This window comes from Homo sapiens, chromosome 1, assembly GCF_000001405.40.
Source record: "Homo sapiens chromosome 1, GRCh38.p14 Primary Assembly".
NCBI classification, from domain to species: Eukaryota; Metazoa; Chordata; class Mammalia; order Primates; family Hominidae; genus Homo; species Homo sapiens.
The window spans coordinates 217,512,798-217,535,774 of NC_000001.11; the positions used below are offsets into that span (position 1 = coordinate 217,512,798).

Consider the following 22,977-nt stretch of genomic DNA (forward strand, 5'->3'; position numbering starts at 1 on the left):
AGAAATGGGCTGATAAAACTGTGCAGTACCCTGTAAGGCATCTGCTGCAATGAACATATCAGCTGAGATCTTCAGAGGAAGAATAACAAGTTAGGTTCTCCAAGAGAGGAGAGAGAATTGCTTGCCAAACTGGATATATGCGTTGTGGCATGCTGAGTATTAAGTATCTCATTTCCTGAATGCGAACTTTTGTTGAAATAGCCTACCTTAGGCCAGGCGCGGTGGCTCACACCTGTAATCCCAGAACTTTGGGAGGCCAAGGTGGGCAGAAGGCCTGAGGTCAGGAGTTCGAGACCAGCCTAGCCAACACGGGGATACCCCATCTCTACTAAAAATACAAAAATTAGCCAGGCGTGGTGGCACACGCCTGTAGTCCCAAGCTACTCGAGAGGCTGATGCAGAAGAATCGCTTGAACCCGGGAGGCAGAGGTTGCAGTGAGCCGAGATCATGACATTGCACTCCAGCCTGGGTGACAAGAGGGAGACTTTGTCTCAGGGAAAAAAAAAAAATTAGCCTACCTTCTCAACAATTCTATAGTCTATGCATCAAGCACTTTGAATGCATAGGCCACTATAAGATTATGATATCATTTTGCTATATCTGAACAATAATCTCTATTTTATATTTGTTAAGTAGTGATTTTAAAAAATAGAAACTAATGGATCCTAATATGATTGCTTGCCACAAAAAATTTATTCAATAATTAATTCATGTCTTCCCATACTTTATGGCCTTTTTAAAAGTTCAATCAAATTTGCAGGAGATATATGGTATTGCTCTAAAATACACAACAAGTTAAGCTTTTCCAACAAAGATGTATTTACAGAACGAATTAACCCCTGGAAATTCAAGCAATAATTTACCAAAGTCAAAGCTACAACTACTTAGTTTTAAAAAATTATCTAGTAAGTAGTCTCTTCCTTTTGTTGCAAAATGGAAATATATTCTGGTTGTTTCATGGGTCTTTATATTATTACCAAATGCTTGGCAGTAGCAGAAAGTAGAGAAGTAATGAAGAAAACCAGTCTTTTTTTTTTTTTTGAGAGATGGGAGTCTCACCCTGTTGCCCAGGCTGGAATGCAGTGGAGCGATCTCGGCTCACTGTAACCTCCGCCTCCCAAGTTCTAGTGAGTCTCCCGTCTCAGCTTTCCAAGTAGCTGGGACTACAGGCATGCGCCACCACGACCAGCTAATTTTTGTATTTTTAGTAGAGACCGGGTTTCACGATATGTTGGCCAGGCTGGTCTCGAACTCATGACCTCAGATGATCTGCCCGCCTTGGCCTCCCAAAGTGCTGGGATTACAACTGTGAGCCACCATGCCTGGCCCCCCCGCAAAAAAAGCAAAACAGTCTTTTACTCCTTTTTTTTTTTCCTTCTGCGATGGAGTCTCACTCTACTGCCCAGGCTGGAGTGCAGTGGCATGATCTCAGCTCACTGCAACCTCCACCTCCTGGGTTCAAGCAATTCTCCTGCCTCAGCCTCCTGAGTAGCTGGGATTACAGGCATGTGCCACCATACCTGGATACTTTTTGTATTTTTAGTAGAGATGGGTTTCGCCATGTTGGCCAGGCTGGTCTCAAACTCCTGAACTCAGGTGATCTGCCCACCCTGGCCTCCCAAAGTGCTGGGATTATGGGCATGAGCCACCATGACTGGCTTATTACTCTTCATTTTAGTATTTTAGAAGGGTTGGGATAGAGAATAAGGATGGAGGAGTACGAAAGCTTGATGCTACTCAATGTAATGAAAATTTTAAATTTTTAAGACAATACATAAATTTCAATAATGCATGAATTTCAAATACTATCACAAATAACAGAATAACTATATTTAAAAATCCCCATTTAAATTTTGTCATGGTTTTCGTTTAAGTTGTTCTTACATTATTATCAATGGTAAATTATACTTACTCTTTTTAAAAAGTACAAATTAAATAAGCTTTACTAGTAGTAGCTAATAATTTCCCAAAAGAGCTAAGTAGAATACTCCAATAAGGTTATATAAACACACTGAGTACTCACTCATGGTGATGAGAATCCGGGGAAAAATGAACCATTCTCTTGTTACCCACTGGGCCAGGAATGGGTACCTACAGGGAGATTTAAAAAGAAAAAATAAATTTCAGATTTGTTTATAAAACGACCATGGATAATAGTGATATATCAATTTGAAGACATCACTCTAAAATGGAGAATACAAGATTTTCAAATCTCAGACAACACTGTGTGGATCAAAAGTATAATTTAATTCCTGGTAAGAATACTTCACTTGTTTTGGTCTAGTGTATTTCCTCTGCTAGATTTTTTTTTTTTTTTGACAGAGTCTCTTTCTGTCCCACAGACTGGAGTGCAGCAGCGCGATCTCGGCTCACTGCAAGCTCCGCCTCCCAGGTTCACGCCATTCTCCTGTCTCAGCCTCCCCAGTAGCTGGGACTACAGGCACCCGCCACCACGCCCGGCTAATTTTTTTGTATTTTTAGTAGAGACGGGGTTTCACTGTGTTAGCCAGGATGGTCTCGATCTCCTGCCCTCGTGATCTGCCTGCCTCGGCCTCCCAAAGTGTTGGGATTACAGGTGTGAGCCACCGCGCCCGACTCCTCTGCTAGATTTTTAAGACTATTTTAAAAGAATCTTGGCCGGGCACAGTGGCTTACGCCTGTAATCCCAGTACTTTGGGAGGCTAAGGTCACCTGAGGTCAGGAGTTCGAGACCAGCCTGGACAACACGGTGAAACCCCATCTCTATTACAAATGCAAAAATTAGCCGGGCATGGTGGCACACGTCTGTAATCCCAGCTACTCGGGAGGCTGAGGCCGCAGAATCGCTTGCACCCAGGAGGCAGAGGCTGCAGTGGACTGCGAGGTTGTCACTGCACTCCAGCCTGGGTGACAGAGCAAGACTCTGTCTCAAAATAATACTAAAAAAAAATTTTAAAAAAAGGACTCTTTATAATAGTGTAAATATCCTTTAAAAAAAAAAAAGACCAGTGACTTATTACATAAAAAAAAAAGTTTAATTAGATCAGTGTTAAGCAGATATTTCCGAGGACCAATGTATTTGTAGCTAGATCCTAAATATAAATAACATGTATTATAACACATACATTTAAATATATACAAAAACTTAGATCAAGGAAGTGGTGAGCAGCCCTTTTCATAGTTTCCCCGAAAAGACAGGAGTCATCTGTGTATTTACACAGTACAAAATGCAATTTCATCTAAGAGAAAAATATTTTCACTCCTTTATTTCTAAATAAAATTTAAAATCTAAAGTAAGCTACTCCTTTTTTTTTTTTAGAATTTCACAACTTTCTTATCATATAGATGGTTCTCAAAGGGAACATAGCACTGTACAAGAATGAATCTATCAGTCACAAATGACAAGGCATACATTTACAGCAAAAGGCTTTAAGTTATGTTCCATTTTAATTTTAAAAAAAAACCCTCTGTAATTATAGAAGTGCCATTTATATAGAATGGGGGGAAAAGCATGAGACAGCAATAAAATTCCTCTTAAAAAAACCCTAACATTTTCAAAACCTTACTTCTTCCCGTATCACTTGGGTTACAAGAATGCCAGTATATACTCAGAAATTCCAAGAAATGCAAATACTGCAAATGTGCACAGATGATGACATTAATAACCCTATGGTTTGAGCGCCACAGGTAAACATGTGGCTCAACTCCAGGACTGCATCCTGCATTCATCTCAAAATGAGGTTTTCATGCTATTCCAGTGGGTATCCCTGGAATACAGTAATCCATTTTCTACACTGTGGCTATGAGAAAAGCCGACTGTGCCTATGTCATGCTTTGTTAGAGGTTCATGATCACATTATCTCATGGTGGACCTGACACTTTTATTCAGTTTACAGTATGTTCTATGTACAGGCAACTTATTTCCTTTGCCAAGGCTGCTGACAACCTTTTCCACACTATATTAATCTTGTTTACTGACTTTATCTTGGTACAAATATCAGAAAACTAAACTTTTTATCTCAGAGAAAAAATAAACAACGTGTTGACAGAAGCAGAAGCTATTTTCAGGACTAAAATTGTTTGTTTACCTGAAGCTATACTTATGGAAAAATGTTTAAGTCTTGCTCTGGCTTGAAATACATAATCTGAAATTTAATAAATGAAGAAATTTCACATACACCCATGTGATAAATTGCCTGATGAAAACAAAGCAACTGAATGCAATAAAACAGAATTTATAGCTAATTTATACCATAATACAAATGTAAGCTTTCAATCTAGTCAGAAATAATCATACTATGTATTTCTCAGCAATCATATATATGTATAAAAAACCTGTAAGCTCAGTTCAACTGCAGCAAGTAACCCACAAAAGATTTACAGTTTCAAGTATAGATACTTAAATAATTTTACCTATTTACCTAGTACATGATCCCTTTAAGAAAACAGAGGTGACTATCCTTTATTGTTATTTTAGTTCAATTTCTGTTTTACTTTTAAAGATATGCAAAATAGGCATAATTTAGAAATTTACTTTTTTTAATGAAATAAAGCAACATATAATGATCTCTTCAGGGTCAATGTCAGTGGTCTGCCTCAGGAGTAAAATGTTCTTACAATGAGAACCTTTTGCTACTGTGGCAACTAGACACACTTACCTAAAATTTGAGAACAATATATTTAATATAGAATTTGGCTTATGGAAAGCAGTGTTATACTGAAGTTTCAGTGAATTTTAAACTTTAAAACATGTTTAATCTGATTATTAGGAGACTACTTCAAAATATTATAAAACTTCAAGGAACATACTTAAGGAATTCTTTCTAAAAGTTTCTGTCTTATCATTAATTCAAGATAGAAAATAATCTTTACAAAAATTAAAGAAGCAGTTTTAAACATCAGATCAAAGTATTAATTTCTAGCATATAATTAAGTATGGTGACTGTTTTCTTCTCCAAAACACATGCTAATTTTAGTGATTTCAGAACTGTCTTAGAAATCACAAATTTTAAGAAGTTGTTTCACTTTAAATATCTAATAAAATATTCACATAGTAAAGTTTATTAGTAAGAAAAATACATTTTATTCCATAAGATTAGACAGGAAACAGGTATTCTGTTCTTCATGAGAAACAGTATCTCCACAATCCAATTCTTATAATTGACAAAACTCTGGAGACAATCATTTATGTAATTAGCCAATATTTAGTGTTGATAAACTTAGACATCACATTACACGCCCTGAATTCTTATGATTCATTTGTTAAATATTACTATATAAATAACGACTACAATCTGAAATAAAGCAGATATATTTCTTTTTATTAGACGCTTATCACACAAAGTCTTAAGAAGTAAACTGAAAGTTAGAAAGGAATTGATGCTTTCTAGATAACATAACTTTTGTGTCCTAATTCTAAAAGATCACATGGATCTTAGATTTTGCTGTTGTTTAAATATTATCAGTCTCAGGAAATAAGAATGTAGTAGCAAGAGATGAAAATTTAACAATAGTTGTACAAGTACCACTATCGATTCAGGAGGTCAATATGTACCAATATATTGGAAATTCTGCTAAATGATCAATTATCAATGACAAAATGTCTGTTCTCTCAAAGTTATAAGACATATTAAAAGCATTTTCTTATTCTTTTTGTCCCTGATGTATTGATACCAATTTTATAATTTTGCTTAAAAGATAAAAAGTTGGTTTTATGTCTCATTTTCATTTAATTGTGTCATTATCAAACCCAATGCATGCCATACTATTCTTCCACAATTACATAACTGAATAACTCTCCAAATCAGGTAAACCTATCTGAGACACAAGAGTCACGTAAGATTAATACAGAGGCCATTCAATATGGATGATATCTTACTTATATTCTCAATGATTGAGATTCCTTCTGTAAATTAATGAAGTTTCTTTTCATGTCCACACGTAAGAACAAGAAACCATCATCCTTTCTTCTCTCCCTCTAGTATAGCTGGTCCCCTTCAACTTCGCTCTGCTTTTCAACTATATTTTATTTGCCTTCCAAATGCTACTCTGCTTCAGTGCCCACACTGACAAACACTTATGTTGGCAAGCTGCCATTCAAAAGAAGGCCTTTCCATTTTGTGAGGACTGGTCAATCAAACCTGCCTGGCCTCCAGGCTGTCGGGAGGCACTGCCTCAGCCTCCCGGCCAGTTTGTCAAGACCCAGAGGTTTCTGGTTTCTCTTACGGCAATTATTAATTTGACTCAACTTCTTTGAAGAAAGAAACAAGACTTTTAAGTAAGATAATATTCTAAATGTTTTACAATAATTCATTTTAATTAATAGACATTAAAATAAATGTGTTGAATATTTATCTCTTATCCCCATACAGAAGAATAAAGGAAGATTCTTCGAAAGCATTTCAAATGAGCACACCTTTGTTTTATATTGGCGTTTTATAAGTTCTGTTACAAGACAGTTTGAGGAATGAATAAAATATTTCATTGTGTATCTATTCTTATAATATTACAGAATGGTCACAAATCACAAAAAGCACAATCTGTTTGGGGATGAGAAACATATTCAAGAAAATAACACTAAAATTACTTTTAAAGCAACATACAAACATGTAAAAATTACTTTAGAATTGCTTTTAAAAGAAATACAAAAAGTGATAATTCAAGGAACATAAATTGGATATCATTTATAAGATTAAAAGGAAACAAAGTAGTTATCTGATTTAAGAGGAATAAAGAGGAATAAAAAATCACCTCTAAGAAGGGAGTTGCATGCATTATCTCCCCCCTGCTCCAATCCATCTTACCAACGTGCCAAATTCAACTTTCTAAATTGCTGCTTTTCACATGTCAACTTTCTCATTCCACAGCCAACTATGGCTTACACTGAAAGTAAAATGAAAATTAATGAGATATGCATGCAAGGCTTTCCCTAAGCTGATCCTTACCTACTTGCCAATGTGATCTAGCACCTTATGCAGCCACTGAGAGCTTCTTATTTTAAATCCAGTACTGCTTACTTGGTACAATTCCACTAGTAACCTAATGTACATATAAAATTATGCTTAACCTTATTATATAATAAGTGATATGTGTTCCCTTTCAGTTGGGTGATTTTAGTTATATTGTTCACCTGAACTAATCTTTTTGATGTCTTGATAAAGTCAAGTTATAGAACTCCTCTAATTCCAAGGGTTTTTTTGATTGTTGTTTTTTAAACATGAAAAATATTAGTAAATATAATTCACGTAATAATTCATGTTTCACCTTTATCTGTCTAGATTTCTATTAAAGTAAAAATGTGTTTATATGGCAGGCCTGGAAAAATCCTCATCACTGGCTACAAGAAATGAAAAAATTGGTGCATATGAAATATACGCCATAAAAACTAGAACATCTAATGTATTCCTGGTAATATGTCTAATGCTAGGGAGAAGTCACTACAAATCCTTACCTACCAGATCTTTTAGTTTCAGACAATGTCCTCCTAGAAAGAATATTCAGGAAGGAAGATGATCCATTCCTGAGGACAACTGAATTGCTAGAGAGTTCAAAACTGTTGTAGAAAATTACTAAGGTTATGGAATATAACTCAGTTTTCCAATGGAGAAAATGCCTCAAAGTTTGGAATTTTATAAAATCTAATAACGGTACAAAAAGGCCCATCAGGTTCCTATCATTCATATCTTTAAAAATGTCAATATTGACAAACAATCTTGCTCTTATTAGCAGAGCTCACACTGTATGACTTTTAGGAAAAGACTTTGAACTAGGACCTATATAGTATCGACTAGTCATAGCCCTCATGTTATCTAAATTATAGTATAGTGGGTGAAACTGATTATTTTTACCTGTTAGTCAAGGTTAAAGTAAAAATTCTATATTGTTTGTTATGCTTTTACAATGCAATTTTAAATCTTTCTTGGAAGGGCTTAAGCATGAACAAACTGACAAAGAATGTGTAATAATGATCACAAAAGATATATCAAAAATTAATATAATTAGAAATATTTCTATTGTCATTAATAATAATATCCTTATTTTTATTTGTTTAAATTTATTTAAGTGTATTTACTTATTTGAGACAAGGTCTTGTTCTGTTGCCCAAGCGTGAGTACTCACAACTCATAGCTTAATGACAGCTCACTGCACCCTCAAACTCCTGGGCTCAAGCAATTCCCCTGCCTCTGCTGCTGGAGCAGCTAGGACTACAGGTGTGTACCACCATGCCCAGTTACTTCTTAAAAGTTTGTATAGAGCTGGGGTCCTGCTATGTTGCATGCACTGGTCTTGAGCTTCCAGCCTCAAGTAATCTTCCCACCTCAGCCTCCCCAAGTACTGGGATTACAGGCATGAGCTACAGTGTCCAGCCACTCTTGTTCTTTATAGCCTACCTTATGGCTTGCTTTTCATAAACAATGTGCCTAGAGTGAAGAAACATCATTATTCTCAAATAATAGTGAAGAAACTAACACTCACTGAGGTGAGGGCACATGCCCTAGACTATAGGAATGGAATTAAGCTAACTTTGAACCAAAATTGTCCAATTTACCACCTAGTACTTTTTCCCCTACAGGGAGACTGCAAAAAAAAAAAAAAAAGATGATATATCAAAACAAATGTTTTCTGTATTTGGGGATTTGTCCCAGGAGATGATGGCCTGAATCTAGAATACACTCTAGGAAAATCTTCAGCCAAGGATACTCTAGACCTTGCCTGTAACTTCTGGGTAGCATGCGGGCTATTTTAAGTATATGCAATGCAGGGCATGGCAGCACTAAACAGGGTTACCAGCACATATTATAGAAGGACTAACAAGAATAACAAACGGCTCCCCTACTAATCATTACAGCAAAAGAAGGCTAACATTTACAAAGTGTACTGGAGAGGAGTAAACACTCCGCGATGAGAATATGTGAAAGAACTTGGGGGAAAATTAGAGAACTTAGGCTATCTTTCCTTTGAAAGCAGACATAAATCTAAATACGTGATTACATCTTTAAACCACAAAGGTTTTGTTTAAAAAAAAAATAGCCAAAGATAAACCATAGAGAAGTACAAGGCTTGTCTTTCTGTTGAGGATTTGCCTTCCTAGAGGAATCCGTACACGTGTGTTGCAGGGAAGATGCTAACCTTACAGCTGCCAGCATTGCATTAAGTAGTGAATAAAGACATAGACTTCAGTTAGTTTCGAAGCGATCTCACTATATTTTTAAGTAAGAGCAGCAAATATATTTCTCTATGAAATGACAGAATGAAAATTATACTGTTTAGAAATATATACATACACATATAGTTGTATGTATGACATTAGCAATTATGTTTTTAACGTAAAACTAAACAATATAATTGTTTTAAATCTTCATTGTAAACAATTTTTTCCTAGTTAAAGCCATTCTGCATTGATAATTAAGAATTTAGAATTATTGGTCTATTAGAATAATAATACTTCTAATTATTAAATACATAAATTCTCATTTCTGGTATACACTACTAATAAAAGATCTAAATGCTTTCACAAAAAAGATTAATCACTAAATAATTCAAAAACAAATACAGCAACAACTTTTTTCATACCACTCCATGGTAATACTATTTTTTTTAAGTAAAGAACTAAAAATTAACCAGCTCAGAATGATGCCCAATAGTGATAGTAAAGAATTTCACTTTGCCGTCCAGTTTTAGTAACAAGCTGTGAGTGGCCTCTACTGGCTGACCAAAGGCTTCTTAAATCCCTCATTTATGAACCTTGCAATATTATGAGCATCAAGAAAGTAAGGATATGGCCACATATGTTTACGTAAAATCCACTGTGCCTAAAGATCTTCTTTTATGAATAAATGACAAAGTAATAAACAAAATGTATATAAGATGGTGTAAAAAACTTCCATCATTTCGTCCCACTGCTATACACTTGGATTAGATTGGCAATCTATATATCTTCTAAAATTCTAATTTATATACCATGATAATCTAAATGTGGATTTTCTTACTCAATTCATATCAAAGCAATTCACATCTGCATTTAAAAACAAATAGTTTTGGGGACTTGTTCAATACACACACACACACACACACAACTTCTCAAAATTAAGTTTATATTTAGGCTTGGCAAACTGACTTTGGAGGCAAACACAAAGAAGACTGAATTTAAAAACTTGAAAGAATTTGTAACTTTAAAAAACAGATTAACATTTTATGTAATGGTTTATGAAAATACTATCTTGGAAACATAGTAATCCAAAGCAATTAAAAAAATTTCTATATTATTGCTCCTATGTTTGGGTGGAAGTAATTTTATATTCAAAATGAAATAGCAATTAAGAAGGCAAAACCTTGCTTGTATTAGGAAATGTCAATTCAGTATTCATAATAGAGAAGAAAAAAAATTTCAGTTTTTTATTTTATTTTATTTTTTTATTGATCATTCTTGGGTGTTTCTCCCAGAGGGGGATTTGGCAGGGTCACAGGACAATAGTGGAGGGAAGGTCAGCAGATAAACAAGTGAACAAAGGTCTCTGGTTTTCCTAGGCAGAGGACCCTGCAGCCTTCCGCAGTGTTTGTGTCCCTGGGTACTTGAGATTAGGGAGTGGTGATGACTCTTAACGAGCATGCTGCCTTCAAGCGTCTGTTTAACAAGGCACAACTTGCACCGCCCTTAATCCATTTAACCCTGAGTGGACACAGCACATGTTTCAGAGAGCACAGGGTTGGGGGTAAGGTCACAGATCAACAGGATCCCAAGGCAGAAGAATTTTTCTTAGTACAGAACAAAATGAAAAGTCTCCCATGTCTACCTCTTTCTACACAGACACGACAACCATCCGATTTCTCAATCTTTTCCCCACCTTTCCCCCCTTTCTATTCCACAAAACCGCCATTGTCATCATGGCCCATTCTCAATGAGCTGTTGGGTACACCTCCCAGACGGGGTGGTGGCCGGGCAGAGGGGCTCCTCACTTCCCAGTAGGGGCGGCCGGGCAGAGGCGCCCCTCACCTCCCGGACGGGGCGGCTGGCCAGGTGGGGGGCTGACCCCCCCACCTCCCTCCTGGACGGGGTGGCTGGCCGGGCGGGGGGCTGACCCCCACACCTCCCTCCCGGATGGGGCGGCTGGCCGGGCGGGGGGCTGACCCCCACACCTCCCTCCCGGACGGGGCAGTTGGCCGGGCGGGGGGCTGACCCCCACACCTCCCTCCCGGACGGGGCGGCTGGCCGGGCAGAGGGGCTCCTCACTTCCCAGTAGGGGCGGCCAGGCAGAGGTGCCCCTCACCTCCCGGATGGGGCGGCTGGCCAGGCGGGGGGCTGACCCCCCCACCTCCCTCCCAGACGGGGTGGCTGCCGGGCAGAGACGCTCCTCACTTCCCAGACGGGGTGGCTGCCGGGCGGAGGCTCCTCACTTCTCAGACGGGGCGGCTGCTGGGCGGAGGGGCTCCTCACTTCTCAGACAGGGCGGTTGCCAGGCAGAGGGTCTCCTCACTTCTCAGACGGGGCGGCCGGGCAGAGACGCTCCTCACTTCCTAGATGGGATGGCGGCTGGGAAGAGGCGCTCCTCACTTCCTAGATGGGATGGCGGCTGGGCAGAGACACTCCTCACTTTCCAGACTGAGCAGCCAGGCAGAGGGGCTCCTCACATCCCAGACGATGGGCGGCCAGGCAGAGACGCTCCTCACTTCCCAGACGGGGTGGCGGCCGGGCAGAGGCTGCAATCTCGGCTCTTTAGGAGGCCAAGGCAGGCTGCTGGGAGGTGGATGTTGTAGCGAGCTGAGATCACGCCACTGCACTCCAGCCTCGGCACCATTGAGCACTGAGTGAAGGAGACTCCGTCTGCAATCCCGGCACCTCGGGAGGCCGAGGCTGGCGGATCACTCGCGGTTAGGAGCTGGAGACCAGCCCTGCCAACACAGCGAAACCCCGTCTCCACCCAAAAAATACGAAAACCAGTCAGGCGTGGCAGCGCGCACCTGCAATTGCAGGCACTCGGCAGGCTTAGGCAGGAGAATCAGGCAGGGAGGTTGCAGTGAGCCGAGATGGCAGCAGTACAGTCCAGCTTCGGCTTGGCATCAGAGGGAGACCGGGGAGAGGGGAGAGGGGAGAGGGGAGAGGGGGGAGGGGGGAGGGGGGAGGGGGGAGGGGGGAGGGGGAGGGGGGAGAGGGGAGAGGGGAGAGGGAGATTTCAGTTTTTGCTCAGCAGCTTCCTAATAATAAAAGCTTCTCGTGTGTGGGAAAATTTGGAATTTTTATTTATCTATTTAAATATATAATCATATATTTAATTCACTTCATCCTTTACCCAATCTATTTACCTAAATATACTCTATTAAAAATTATTAGCAAATATATCTAATGATGTCAAAAGGTGACTACATTTATTTTAAGAAGTGATTGTTCTCACATGTAACAATATTCCAGTATATTTCAACCTTCATTTCAGAATTCAGTCCCATTATCTTGCCTGCTCAAAATGGTTCACAGGGTTATCTAGCTGACATATAAGATAACCCTCCATCTCACTAGACACCACTGGGATATGACACACTGACCCACAGTAAGCCCTTATTATTATCCTGAAATACATAGCACATAATGTAGTTCCTGCCAAGGAATTTGTTTATAAAAATCTTTTTTATCTCTCTGGACATTTGAGTCATTCTTTAAAAGTAATGTTCAACTATTTTAAAGAATTTCATACAATGAATAAACATTCTATTTTATGTTTAAAGTCTTCATTCCCATTTCCCACAATTTTACCAAAGGTTAAAAAACAAAACCCACATACATAGAAAATAAAAGCCAGAAAGTATTTTCTCCTTGTTGCTTAGGTTATATAGAGCCTATTATATAAAAGATAAGACTTAAAAGAGATCTCAGTAGTTCATTCCTAGGGAGAATTATGCATATTGAAGCTTAATACATGTAAAATTAATTGTCTTCTTTTTAATTTTTTGGGGGGTAGCAGAAGAGGTCAGAGGGCAATACGGTAGTGAAGATAATGGTGAGACTCAGCAAACATGTTTGAGGACATAACAAATTATTAATATAGCTTTTTGAAAAAAATTCTACATGCACATTTTAAAAATTTATTTAAGAATATAAGCAGACTAGGAAAACTTTTAAGTGCTTGCTTACAAACTACTTAAATTATTTTGGTACTCAAAATCACATGATCAACATTTTGGCAGCTAAAATTTATTTTCTTTCCACATTATTCAACAATGTGTCATATCATCCATTGTGCATACTTTTTGAACTGGGTATTATTTCTACTATTTTTCAAAGTGTTTTCATAAACTAGTCAATTTCTTCTTAACCTGATAGTGGTGTTGCATAAAACCTTAATTTACATCAGGGGAAAAAATTACAGCTGGTTTTTATAATTAAAAGAGCGTTTCTAAGAATCTCAAGGACCAATAGTAATTTATAAGAAAAATGCTGATAGTCTCAACACTTTTAAACTGACAACTTAATATGGTTTATATTTAGCAAACAAAACACTTAAAATATTGTTCTGTACAGGCTGTTCTCCTAAAACAAACATGCAGGCAACCATTCAATCATTCAATCTTACGTGATGCAGTTCAAGACCTTACTATACCATTAATTGCACTAAAAATTTCCATAGCTAAAAAAAAAGTATGTAATCATGATTTGATGGGGGAGGGAAAAAGTACAAAAGTACAACATATTGCAAACTATTCTTTGCGGTATGAATAAATGAGTGAATGAGTTAATTAAAAAGAGGTAAAATATTAGTTAACAAATAGCAGTGTAAGCATAATCTTAGCATATTACATACTCAATAAATGACAACAAAAATCCCAAATAACCTAAAACTTTTAACATTTTTTGGCCAATATCTATTCTAAGTAAATAATCACAGTCAGACTGTCATATTTTTGAAATACTTATTAGCTTTACCTTGATAGAAGTAAATGTCTATCCCAAATCTGGTTGTTTATAGCAGGGAACCCCAACCACACACAGCAGGAGGTGAGCAACAGACGAGCAAGCAAAGCTTCATCTGTATTCACAGCTGCTCCTCACTGCTCATATTACCACCTGAGCTCTGCTTCCTGAGAGATCAGTGGTGGCATTTAATTCTCACAGGAGTGTGATCCCAATTGTGAATTGTGCCTGCAAGGCATCAAGGTTGTGTGTTCCTTATGAGAATCTAATGCCTGATGATCTGTCACTGTGTCCCCATCAGCCCCAGATGGGACTGTTTAGTTTCAGGAAAACAAGCTGAGTGCTCCCACTACCTCTACATTATGGTGAGTTGTAGAATTATTTCATTATGTATTACAATGTAATAATGATATAATTATTTCATTATGTATTACAATGTAATAATGATATAATTATTTCATTATGTATTACAATGCATTAATAATAGAAATACAGTGCATGATAAATGTAATGTGCTTGAATCATCCCCAAACCATCCCCCTACCCCCAGTCTGTGGAAAAATTGTCTTCCAGGAAACCAGTCTCTGGTGTCAAAAAGGTTGGAAAGCACTGGTTTATAAAGTCGGTCAGGTAGCCAGAGATAACTCACTTCCTGTGAGGTGAGTTCTGGACAATAAGAGGTATGTATAGTCACCAGGTGAAGCTTCTAAGGAAAGTTCTTTAAGTGACTGACTCAGTTGGCATGTGCCTTGTGCCCTTCTTTGTACTTCATGGTGCCTGGGATACGGCCAATAACATCCATTTTTTTTTTTTTTTTGACTAGGAGTTAAAGACCAAAAGAATCAAAGGTTTCCACCATGGCATCTTTTATCTGGATAACCAAGCCACTACGTGCCTTTCTATGTCAGGAGGGAAACAAACAAAACAAAACAAAACAAAACAAAACCCTCTCTTGTTCGAGCCACCATTATTTGGATACTTTATTATGTACACCAAGCTCAATCCCTAATTTTAATAATAATGAAGCCAATTATATCTATTAAATTCTACATTTAGTCCTAGAAAACAACAAGTCATTTGGTGGACCAGGAATTCACTAATAAGAGAGGAGATAGTGAACAACTACTTCATATGTCCAGCACTCAGGTGCTACATGGAAGATTCTAATGAATTGCACAATATCAACCCTACTAGCTAATATGTTGCAGACTTAAAACATAAAACTATATAAAGATTAAACAACTACTAAACTGTGTTCATTTAGTTATAACTGCAACGGAAGTTAAAAAAAATCATTAAAGCCCAAATTAGCAAATGTGGGTTTTGGAGGAGATGAGACTTATGCTGAGTGTTAGAGCTGGCTAGGATCTAAGCCAATGGAAGGAGGGGTGACTGTATGCATAAACAAGTTATGAATCAAAAGGGTATATATATTGGAAATGAGGAAATAAACCTGACTAGAAGTTCATGGAAAATAATGGTTGGATAGGCAACAAAGGTTCAGAAATCTAAGAATATTGTTCATCCTGTAAAATAATCTCTATGTTCAAGTCTTTAAAAATTAAGCCAGATTTTCATGACTAATTGACATCATCAGACTCTGTTAAGGGTAGCCAAGTAAAAATAACTAAAAAGACACAAACAAGATAACGTTTTCATGTATTAAATTTCCATATTTTTGCCTTTACTTCCTCGTTGCTTTCTAGATCCTGTATCAAGAGCTTGAAGATACATAGTTTCTTCTACACACAGCAGGATGAGGCAAATCCTTCTGCCTACGATGACTAGGACCTGAGGCATCCTGCCCTTTCTTGCTCCTTGGTGAATGAAAAGGAGAACTAAGGCTGAAGTAGGAGGAGTAAGTCAGAAACCAACATTCTAATGATCTCCATGCCTCTTGCATAAAGTAAGGTGGAAGGTCAGAGAAGCATGGGGGGACTGAGGGATGTCTGTTCCCTGAGGTACAGTCAGGGAGGTAACATGTCTAGAAGAGGTGCCACATTTGAACTGGCACCTTGTCCAACAGGGCACAGAGGTAAAAATGCTGCATTTGTGGAAGGAGGAGGCCAGACAGATAGCCTGAGAGAATGCTGTTGGTTCCCCAAGGTCTGAGTGTGAGACAGGTGATCCAGGAGTTCCTGTACCCTCTTGAGGGGACCAGGGTGAGGACTGTCTTGGGATTCAAGAAAGCAAAGGGACTTGAAGATCCGAGGCAAATGGCTGGAATCTGTGGGCTTCAGTAATGAATACCAGAATAATACCCCCAAAGGCCAAATGGAACCAGACTCACAGAAGTGAATGTGGTGCCAGTGTTCAGTCCAGACCAGCTAGAGGTCAGCAAGGCAAAGAACAGTGATTGGACAGACAGATGATGCATGGATCTGAGGTAAAAGATTCCCCTATAATTACCCCCAGGACACATAAGCTCTGTAGTGCCACCATGGAGAGAATCAGATGGAGACAGAGGAGAACTGCAAGAACAAGCATTTGTTAAAAAGGGGCTGAGTTACCCAAATAAATAGTTTATACAGAGATAACTGTAACTGGAAAATCTTTTTCACTTCCTGCCATGGTTTGGATATGGTTTGTTTTGTCCCCACCAAAACTTATGTTGAAATTTGGTCCCTGGCATAATGGTATTGGGAGGTGGGGCCTAGTTGGAGGCATTTGGGTCATGGGATCCCTCAAGAATGGTTTGGTTCCCTCTGCATGGTAGTGAGTTCTCCTGCTGGAAGACTGGATTAATTCTTGTAGAAATGGATTAGTTCCCTCCAGAGTGGGTTGTTATAAAGCCAGGACATCGCTCAGGTTTTTCTCTTCACACATGTCTGTTTCCCCTTTGACCTTCTCCTCCATGTTATGAGGCAGAATAAGAGCCCTCACCAGAAGACAGTGCGGTACCCTTGAAATTCTCAGCATGCACAACTGTGAGCTAAATAAACCTCTTTTCTTTATAAATTATTCAGTCTTGGGTATTTTGTTATAGCAACACAAAACAGACTAAGATGATTCCCAGATTCCTGTTCCTCCACCAATGTACTTCTTTCCCAATTTCCCCACACCCGGCACTAACAGTCAGAAGCTCATGAGAAATAACAAATGTAGTAAATAAAGAAGGTATATTTTATCTCGCCCAAGAGTTAACTTTTTGCTCTCCACACTTACAAACTGACATCAACTCTTTAGAACATACTCATGAATAGAGGAATTATCTTTACAAATTAGAATAGATAAAAATCTTCCAATGTATCCACAAGTAGTAAAGTACTAAATACTAGTTTAAGCTTTTTCACTGTTTCATAGTAAAAAAATACAATGTAATGTATGTCATGCTTTTCAATCTACAGGTTACAAAATCAACAGTGACAAAGACATAACCTTTGTGGTAAGTCTAGAAAACAAAGTAATATGGAGTCCTAGCAGTAATTCTTGTTATCCAATGCAGTGATCACAATGAAATATGCTATCCACCAAGTTTAACAAAATAAACTGAAATTTGTGGATTTCATCATTTTTTCCCCTCCAGTATAAAGTAGTTCTTAATAATGGAAGAGCACAGAGATGAAAACTGGGCTATGGAGCCAGACTGCCTGGGTCCAAATACTAACTTCTCCATGTTTCAGTGTTATGACTGTCTCAATTGCTTCATCTACAAAATGGGGGTGGATAATAGTACCTATTTCATTGCTTTATTACAAAAATTAAAGAGATCATTTGTAAAGCACATAGATCAGTGTGTATTAGCTATTATTATTTGTATTAATTGTTTCACAGTCTAATGCAAAGTACAATCTCAATAATAAGATGACAATAAATGTTACAGTAGATGCTAGCAAGAATAAGGAGTTTTGTAGGGTTGGTGGGACTGGGAGCAAGGAGGGTGTGTACACAGAAAAATCATGCCATCAAAGATGTTTATTTATTGGGGCCATCACCACTTCTTTCAGTGAATTAACTGAAAATAAAAATCAAATGAATAATTTTTTTCTCGTGATTGTATCAGAAGTGCAGATACATATTTAGTTTACAAAACACTCAATGTTTAAAAATAGTTACTTAAAGCCTGTGGTACTTAGTCTAAATTATAAAACTTAATTCAATAATTTCCACAAAGACATTATTAGTGACTGTATAGGCTGATAATTCTGATGCTTTTCAATTAGTGTAAAGGTCATGAGTTAAAATAAAACACAGAAGTATTTTAGCTATAATAATCGTCTCTAAATTGAATGTTTTACAGCTGATTTGCTTTTCTTGGCCAATTCTAAGGGCCTGAAAACCTGAAGAGGCAGACCAGTTGAATACATGGTATTCAGTTGTTGGAAGAAATAAAGGGAACGCACCTCCTCCCAAGCCCAGTTACACAAACACACACACACACACACACACACACACTTTATTTAATTTTATACAAAATAACGATGCAGAACCTTGAAGGCTTCTCTGATCACACAAAACAGAAGTAATTTCTTTATCCAACTTTAATTCCTATATGTCTCTGTATCTTTCTTATATCACTTAACAGATTATCTGCCTCATGTTAGAATTACACATATGTTTGTCTTCTCTATAATAATATGTTTCTCAAAAGCAGAGGCTATGTCTTATTTACTATTGTATTGCCACCAGGATCTGGCACATTTGCCTACAGTGAAACATGTGCTGAATTAGTCAAAAGCACAAATATTTTTCATGAGAGCTGATTAGCATTTTACAATAGTCATAAAAATTCAGACTATACCTCAAGTAATTCACAAACAGGTTAAATACTGTAGTCTTTCAAAAATCTGGATATGGTGTTTTTGAAGGCACACTGCCATCTGCATAATTAAAACCATTCTAATACCTATCTCATGAAATAGTACACAAAAAAAATAGTAGACAATACAAAGAGAATCAACTGACTACAGGCATATAATTTACTCAGTGCTTTGCATAAAGAGTGGTTCATAATTTTTAAAATATAGAAAATGAAAGAGATGCTCATTACTATCATTAATGAACACCTAAAACATTTTTGACAAGTTGGTGAAAACAGAGGAAAAAAGAATACAAGAAAAAAGAAAAATTGCTGAATTATCTTCCTGGGTAGCACACTGTTAAGAAATTTGATGACAGAAAGGATGCTGTCAAGCACTAGCATATACTCTGAGAACATGGCAGGATATATCATATGTGCTTACAAACCATTCTAGAAGCTACCTACAAAGCAAGAGGAGCATGTATGCATCAATATAATTAAGAAACTGGAAATCACCAATTATTTCTTGAATTGTTTCACAGTATTAACTATGAGTTCTGTGGACATTAAACCACACCATGGAATCTGAAAAAATAGGATACTGTCTATCATAGTCAGTCTGTGAAACATGGACATAATGTCACTACAACCCAACTCCGCTGGACCGGTACACAAACAGAATCCCAAGTAGCACACTCCACTGGGCTGTGAGCAACTCCAAGTGCAGGGGTACTGTTTTATTCTTTTGTCCTCTGTGATTAACCCAGTATGTACTCAGTAAATAGCATCCATTATTATTGATTTCAACAAACGATGATTGAGCACTTCCTAGGTGGCAGAAACTCTCAGAAGCTGCATATTAAATATTTCTAATGCTCACAACTCTGCAAGATTCTAATTATTATCTCAATCTTACAAATGAGGCTCGGAGAGATTAAAACAACTTACCTAAGGCCACCTACCTGACAAGTAGCACAGCCACTATTTTGGTCCAGAAATGTCTGGTTCATTGACTCAACAAAAAACATATTGAGCCCTGACTATGTATACTGAGCAAGGAAGAGGAGATGTATTGGTGAACAAGACTGAAAAGGCCCCTGAATTTATGGGACTGACATTTTACTCTAGAGAGCCACAATGAATAAAACAAACAGACAAGAACACTACAGATTTTAGAAAATGAAATGAAATAAATAAGGAGAAGGTGGTAGGGAAGAGGAACCCCTGCTGACCTGACCCCTGAAGGATAAGATGGAGCAGCCAAGCAAAGGGCAGGAGGAATGAAACATTCTTAGACAAAGGAAATAGCATATATGAAGGCCTGGAAACAAGGAAGAGTTTACATGTTCAAGGAGTAGGATGGAAGTCTGTGTGGGGAAGGGAAGATGGGTACAATGTGAGGTCAGAGAACAGAAGAGGGTCCCACTGGTCTTAATTGTAAAAAGTTGTGCTCTTTATCTTTTTTTTGTTTTTTTTTTTTTGTTTTTTTTTTTTTTTTGAGACAGGATCTCCCTCTGGCACCCAGGCTGGAGTGCAGTGGTGCCATCATAGCTCACTGCAGCCTTGACCTCCCAGGTTCAAGTGATCCTCCCACCTCAGCCTCCGGAGTAGCTGGGACTACAGATGCATAGCACCATGCCCACCTGGCTAATTTTTTTTTTTTTTAGAGATGGGGAGATGGGGTTTTGCCATGTTGCCCAGGCTGGTCTTGAACTCCTGAGCTCAAGTGATCTGCCTGCCTCAGCCTCCCACAGTGCTGGAATTACAGGCATAAACCACCACACCCAGCCTGCTCTTTTCTTTATAACAGCAATTCTCAAACTTTATACTCTTAAAAATGATGGAGGACTACAAAGAGCTTTTGTTTATGCGGATTATATCTATTGATATTGAGTGTATGAGATATTAAAACTGTGTTTTTAAATTCAAGAATCTACAAGCACACACCTCCTGGAGACTAGAAAATACCACTGCACAGTTGTGAAAAAATAAAGGTGAAAAAGACAAATAATATCTTAGCGTTATGAAAACAGTTTTGCCCTTGGGGACCCACTGAAAGAGTCTCAGGGACCCCCAGTGGTTTCCAGATCACACTTCGAGAAGCATTGCCACATGCCGTGGTCATCCAAGTGTGGTTCTCAGACTAGCAGCATCTAGAGACTAGGAATTGTCTCTTAATCAACTTTGTTTCTCCCATACATTGCTCAGTGTCTGGCACATGGCAAATATGAAATAAAGCAATAATCACTTGTTGACTTAAGTATTTATGTTTTCTCTTGATATTTACGTTGGTATCTCCATGAAAGTCATGCCAGATACTTTGTTCTGAATCATGTATAACAGAATCCTGGGTGCACAGGTTTTCATTAAGCTCTTTTTATTGAATATAGATATAGATTTGGTAAATAGCAACGGGGATAACAAATATAATTAGCAAGAAAACTCTGTGCTCTTTTAATTATGTATAGAAATACTTAAATGAATATAAAATAAGATCTATTAAAAAGATTCTTACAGCCAGGCATGGTGGCTGACACCTGTAATACCAGCACTTTAGGAGGCCAAGGTGGGCAGATCACCTGAGGTCAAGAGTTTGAGACTAGCCTGGCCAACATGATGAAACCCCACCTCTACTAAAAATACAAAAATTAGCCGTGCATGGTGGGGGGTGCCTGTAATCCCAGCTACTCAGGAGGCTGAGGCAGGAGAATCGCTTGAACCCAGGAAGTGGAGGTTGCAGTGAGCCAAGATCACGCCACTGCACTCCAATCTGGTCAACAGAACGAGACCCTGTCTCAAAAATAAATAAATAAATGAAAATAAAAAGATTCTTACAGTTCTTATAATTAATTGCTCTCTCCTATAAAATACAGACCACACTTTATGCCACCCACATTTTGAAGATTTAGGAACAGCCATGAAAACATACTAGCAAACATTCATTCTCAAATCAGAAACACTAGACTGTAATTTAATCTTATTATCAACTGGGTAAAGTATTAGCTTTTAAGTAAAAGTTGCCCATCTTCTTATTAGTGAGCATGGCCTTGATGGTCCAGTTAACTTTCACCTATAAAATAAGGCCATTTTTCATATTCAAAATGAAATTCTGTGTTAAACTTCTTCTTCCATTTATAAAATTACTTACAGTCTGTGAAAAAAAAAAAAAAAGAACATTTAGGATATCTAAAGATAACAAAAGCTCACAACTGGTACCCTCTGCACTCACCACCACCCGGATTAAGCAAAAATTAATTGTCCTCTTTAAAGCTGGATCCTTTTGGCCCTTTCCCAATTCTCACTGGGTTACCAGATGTCACATGACCATACAGTTGGATAGGGTACAAAATTTATTGCACCATGAGCTGTAAAGGTACTAACTACATTCAGGTCAGGATACTGCAGATGTCTGTCTCAGTTACTTAGCTCAACTTGGCACTAAATAACTGGAGATTAGTTTGTGTTTTTAAGTCATACTGTCTTGTTCAAATTCATGTTTTGTCACTTTCTAGCTATTCAGTTATTTAGTACTTCTCTTGCCTTATAGGTAAAAGGTCAATAATAGTAAAACCTGCTTTATAGGGCTGTTATGAAAATTACATGAGTTAATACACATAAAGTGCTTGGAAAAATGCCTGGCACATAGTAAGGACCCAATAATGCTAGTTCTTATGCCTAGCAGATTTCATAGATGTTATAGCCCCAATCTGCTTTACCAACAGGCTTGACATTTCAACTCAGACCTGGTTATTAGGACTACTCAATCCTGGTACTGTTGCTGGTTTTTAGTTTCAATCACTTGACTTAAGCGAAATAGAAAAAGTAAATTCCTCTGTATTAGACTGTTACCTCAATGTCAAGTATCTACTTACTCAACTCCAGTTGAGTGGGTGAGTTGATACTGAGGTAACAGTCTAAAAAGGAAGTTTTTATTCTCTTTTTAAGTTAATGTACAAGATTATTATTATGATTTTTTTTTGGAGGGCAGTGGCGTGAGCCCAGCTCACTGCAAGTTCCGCTTCTCGGGTTCACGCCATTCTCCTGCCTCAGCCTCCACAGTAGGTGGGACTACAGGTGCCCGCCACCACGCCTGGCTAATTTGTTTTATATTTTTAGTAGAGACGGGGTTTCACTGTGTTAGCCAGGATGGTCTCGATCTCCTGACCTCGTGATCCATCCGCCTCGGCCTCCCAAAATGCTGGGATTACAGGCGTGAGCCACTGCGCCCGGCCAAGTTAATGTACAAGATTGTTTTAAGTAAAAGCTAGAAAGAAGACTGTTCAAAATGCATCCTGTGTACCGAAAATACTACCTAGAATATTTGTTGAATGAATAGACAACTGACTCCGGTTTTAC

General features: G+C 38.1%; 1 protein-coding gene across 8 annotated transcripts in view; it reads right to left on the reverse strand.

The window, feature by feature from the left end:
- Positions 1–22,977, reverse strand: part of GPATCH2 (G-patch domain containing 2) — a 204,099-nt gene that overhangs the window by 85,806 nt on the left and 95,316 nt on the right. For all 8 annotated transcript variants that reach the window (XM_017001592.3, XM_011509690.4, NM_018040.5 and 5 more), the window contains exon 6: positions 2,025–2,092. In XM_017001592.3, coding sequence (XP_016857081.1) covers positions 2,025–2,092 — 68 coding nt within the window. The remainder of the gene's footprint in view (positions 1–2,024; positions 2,093–22,977) is intronic.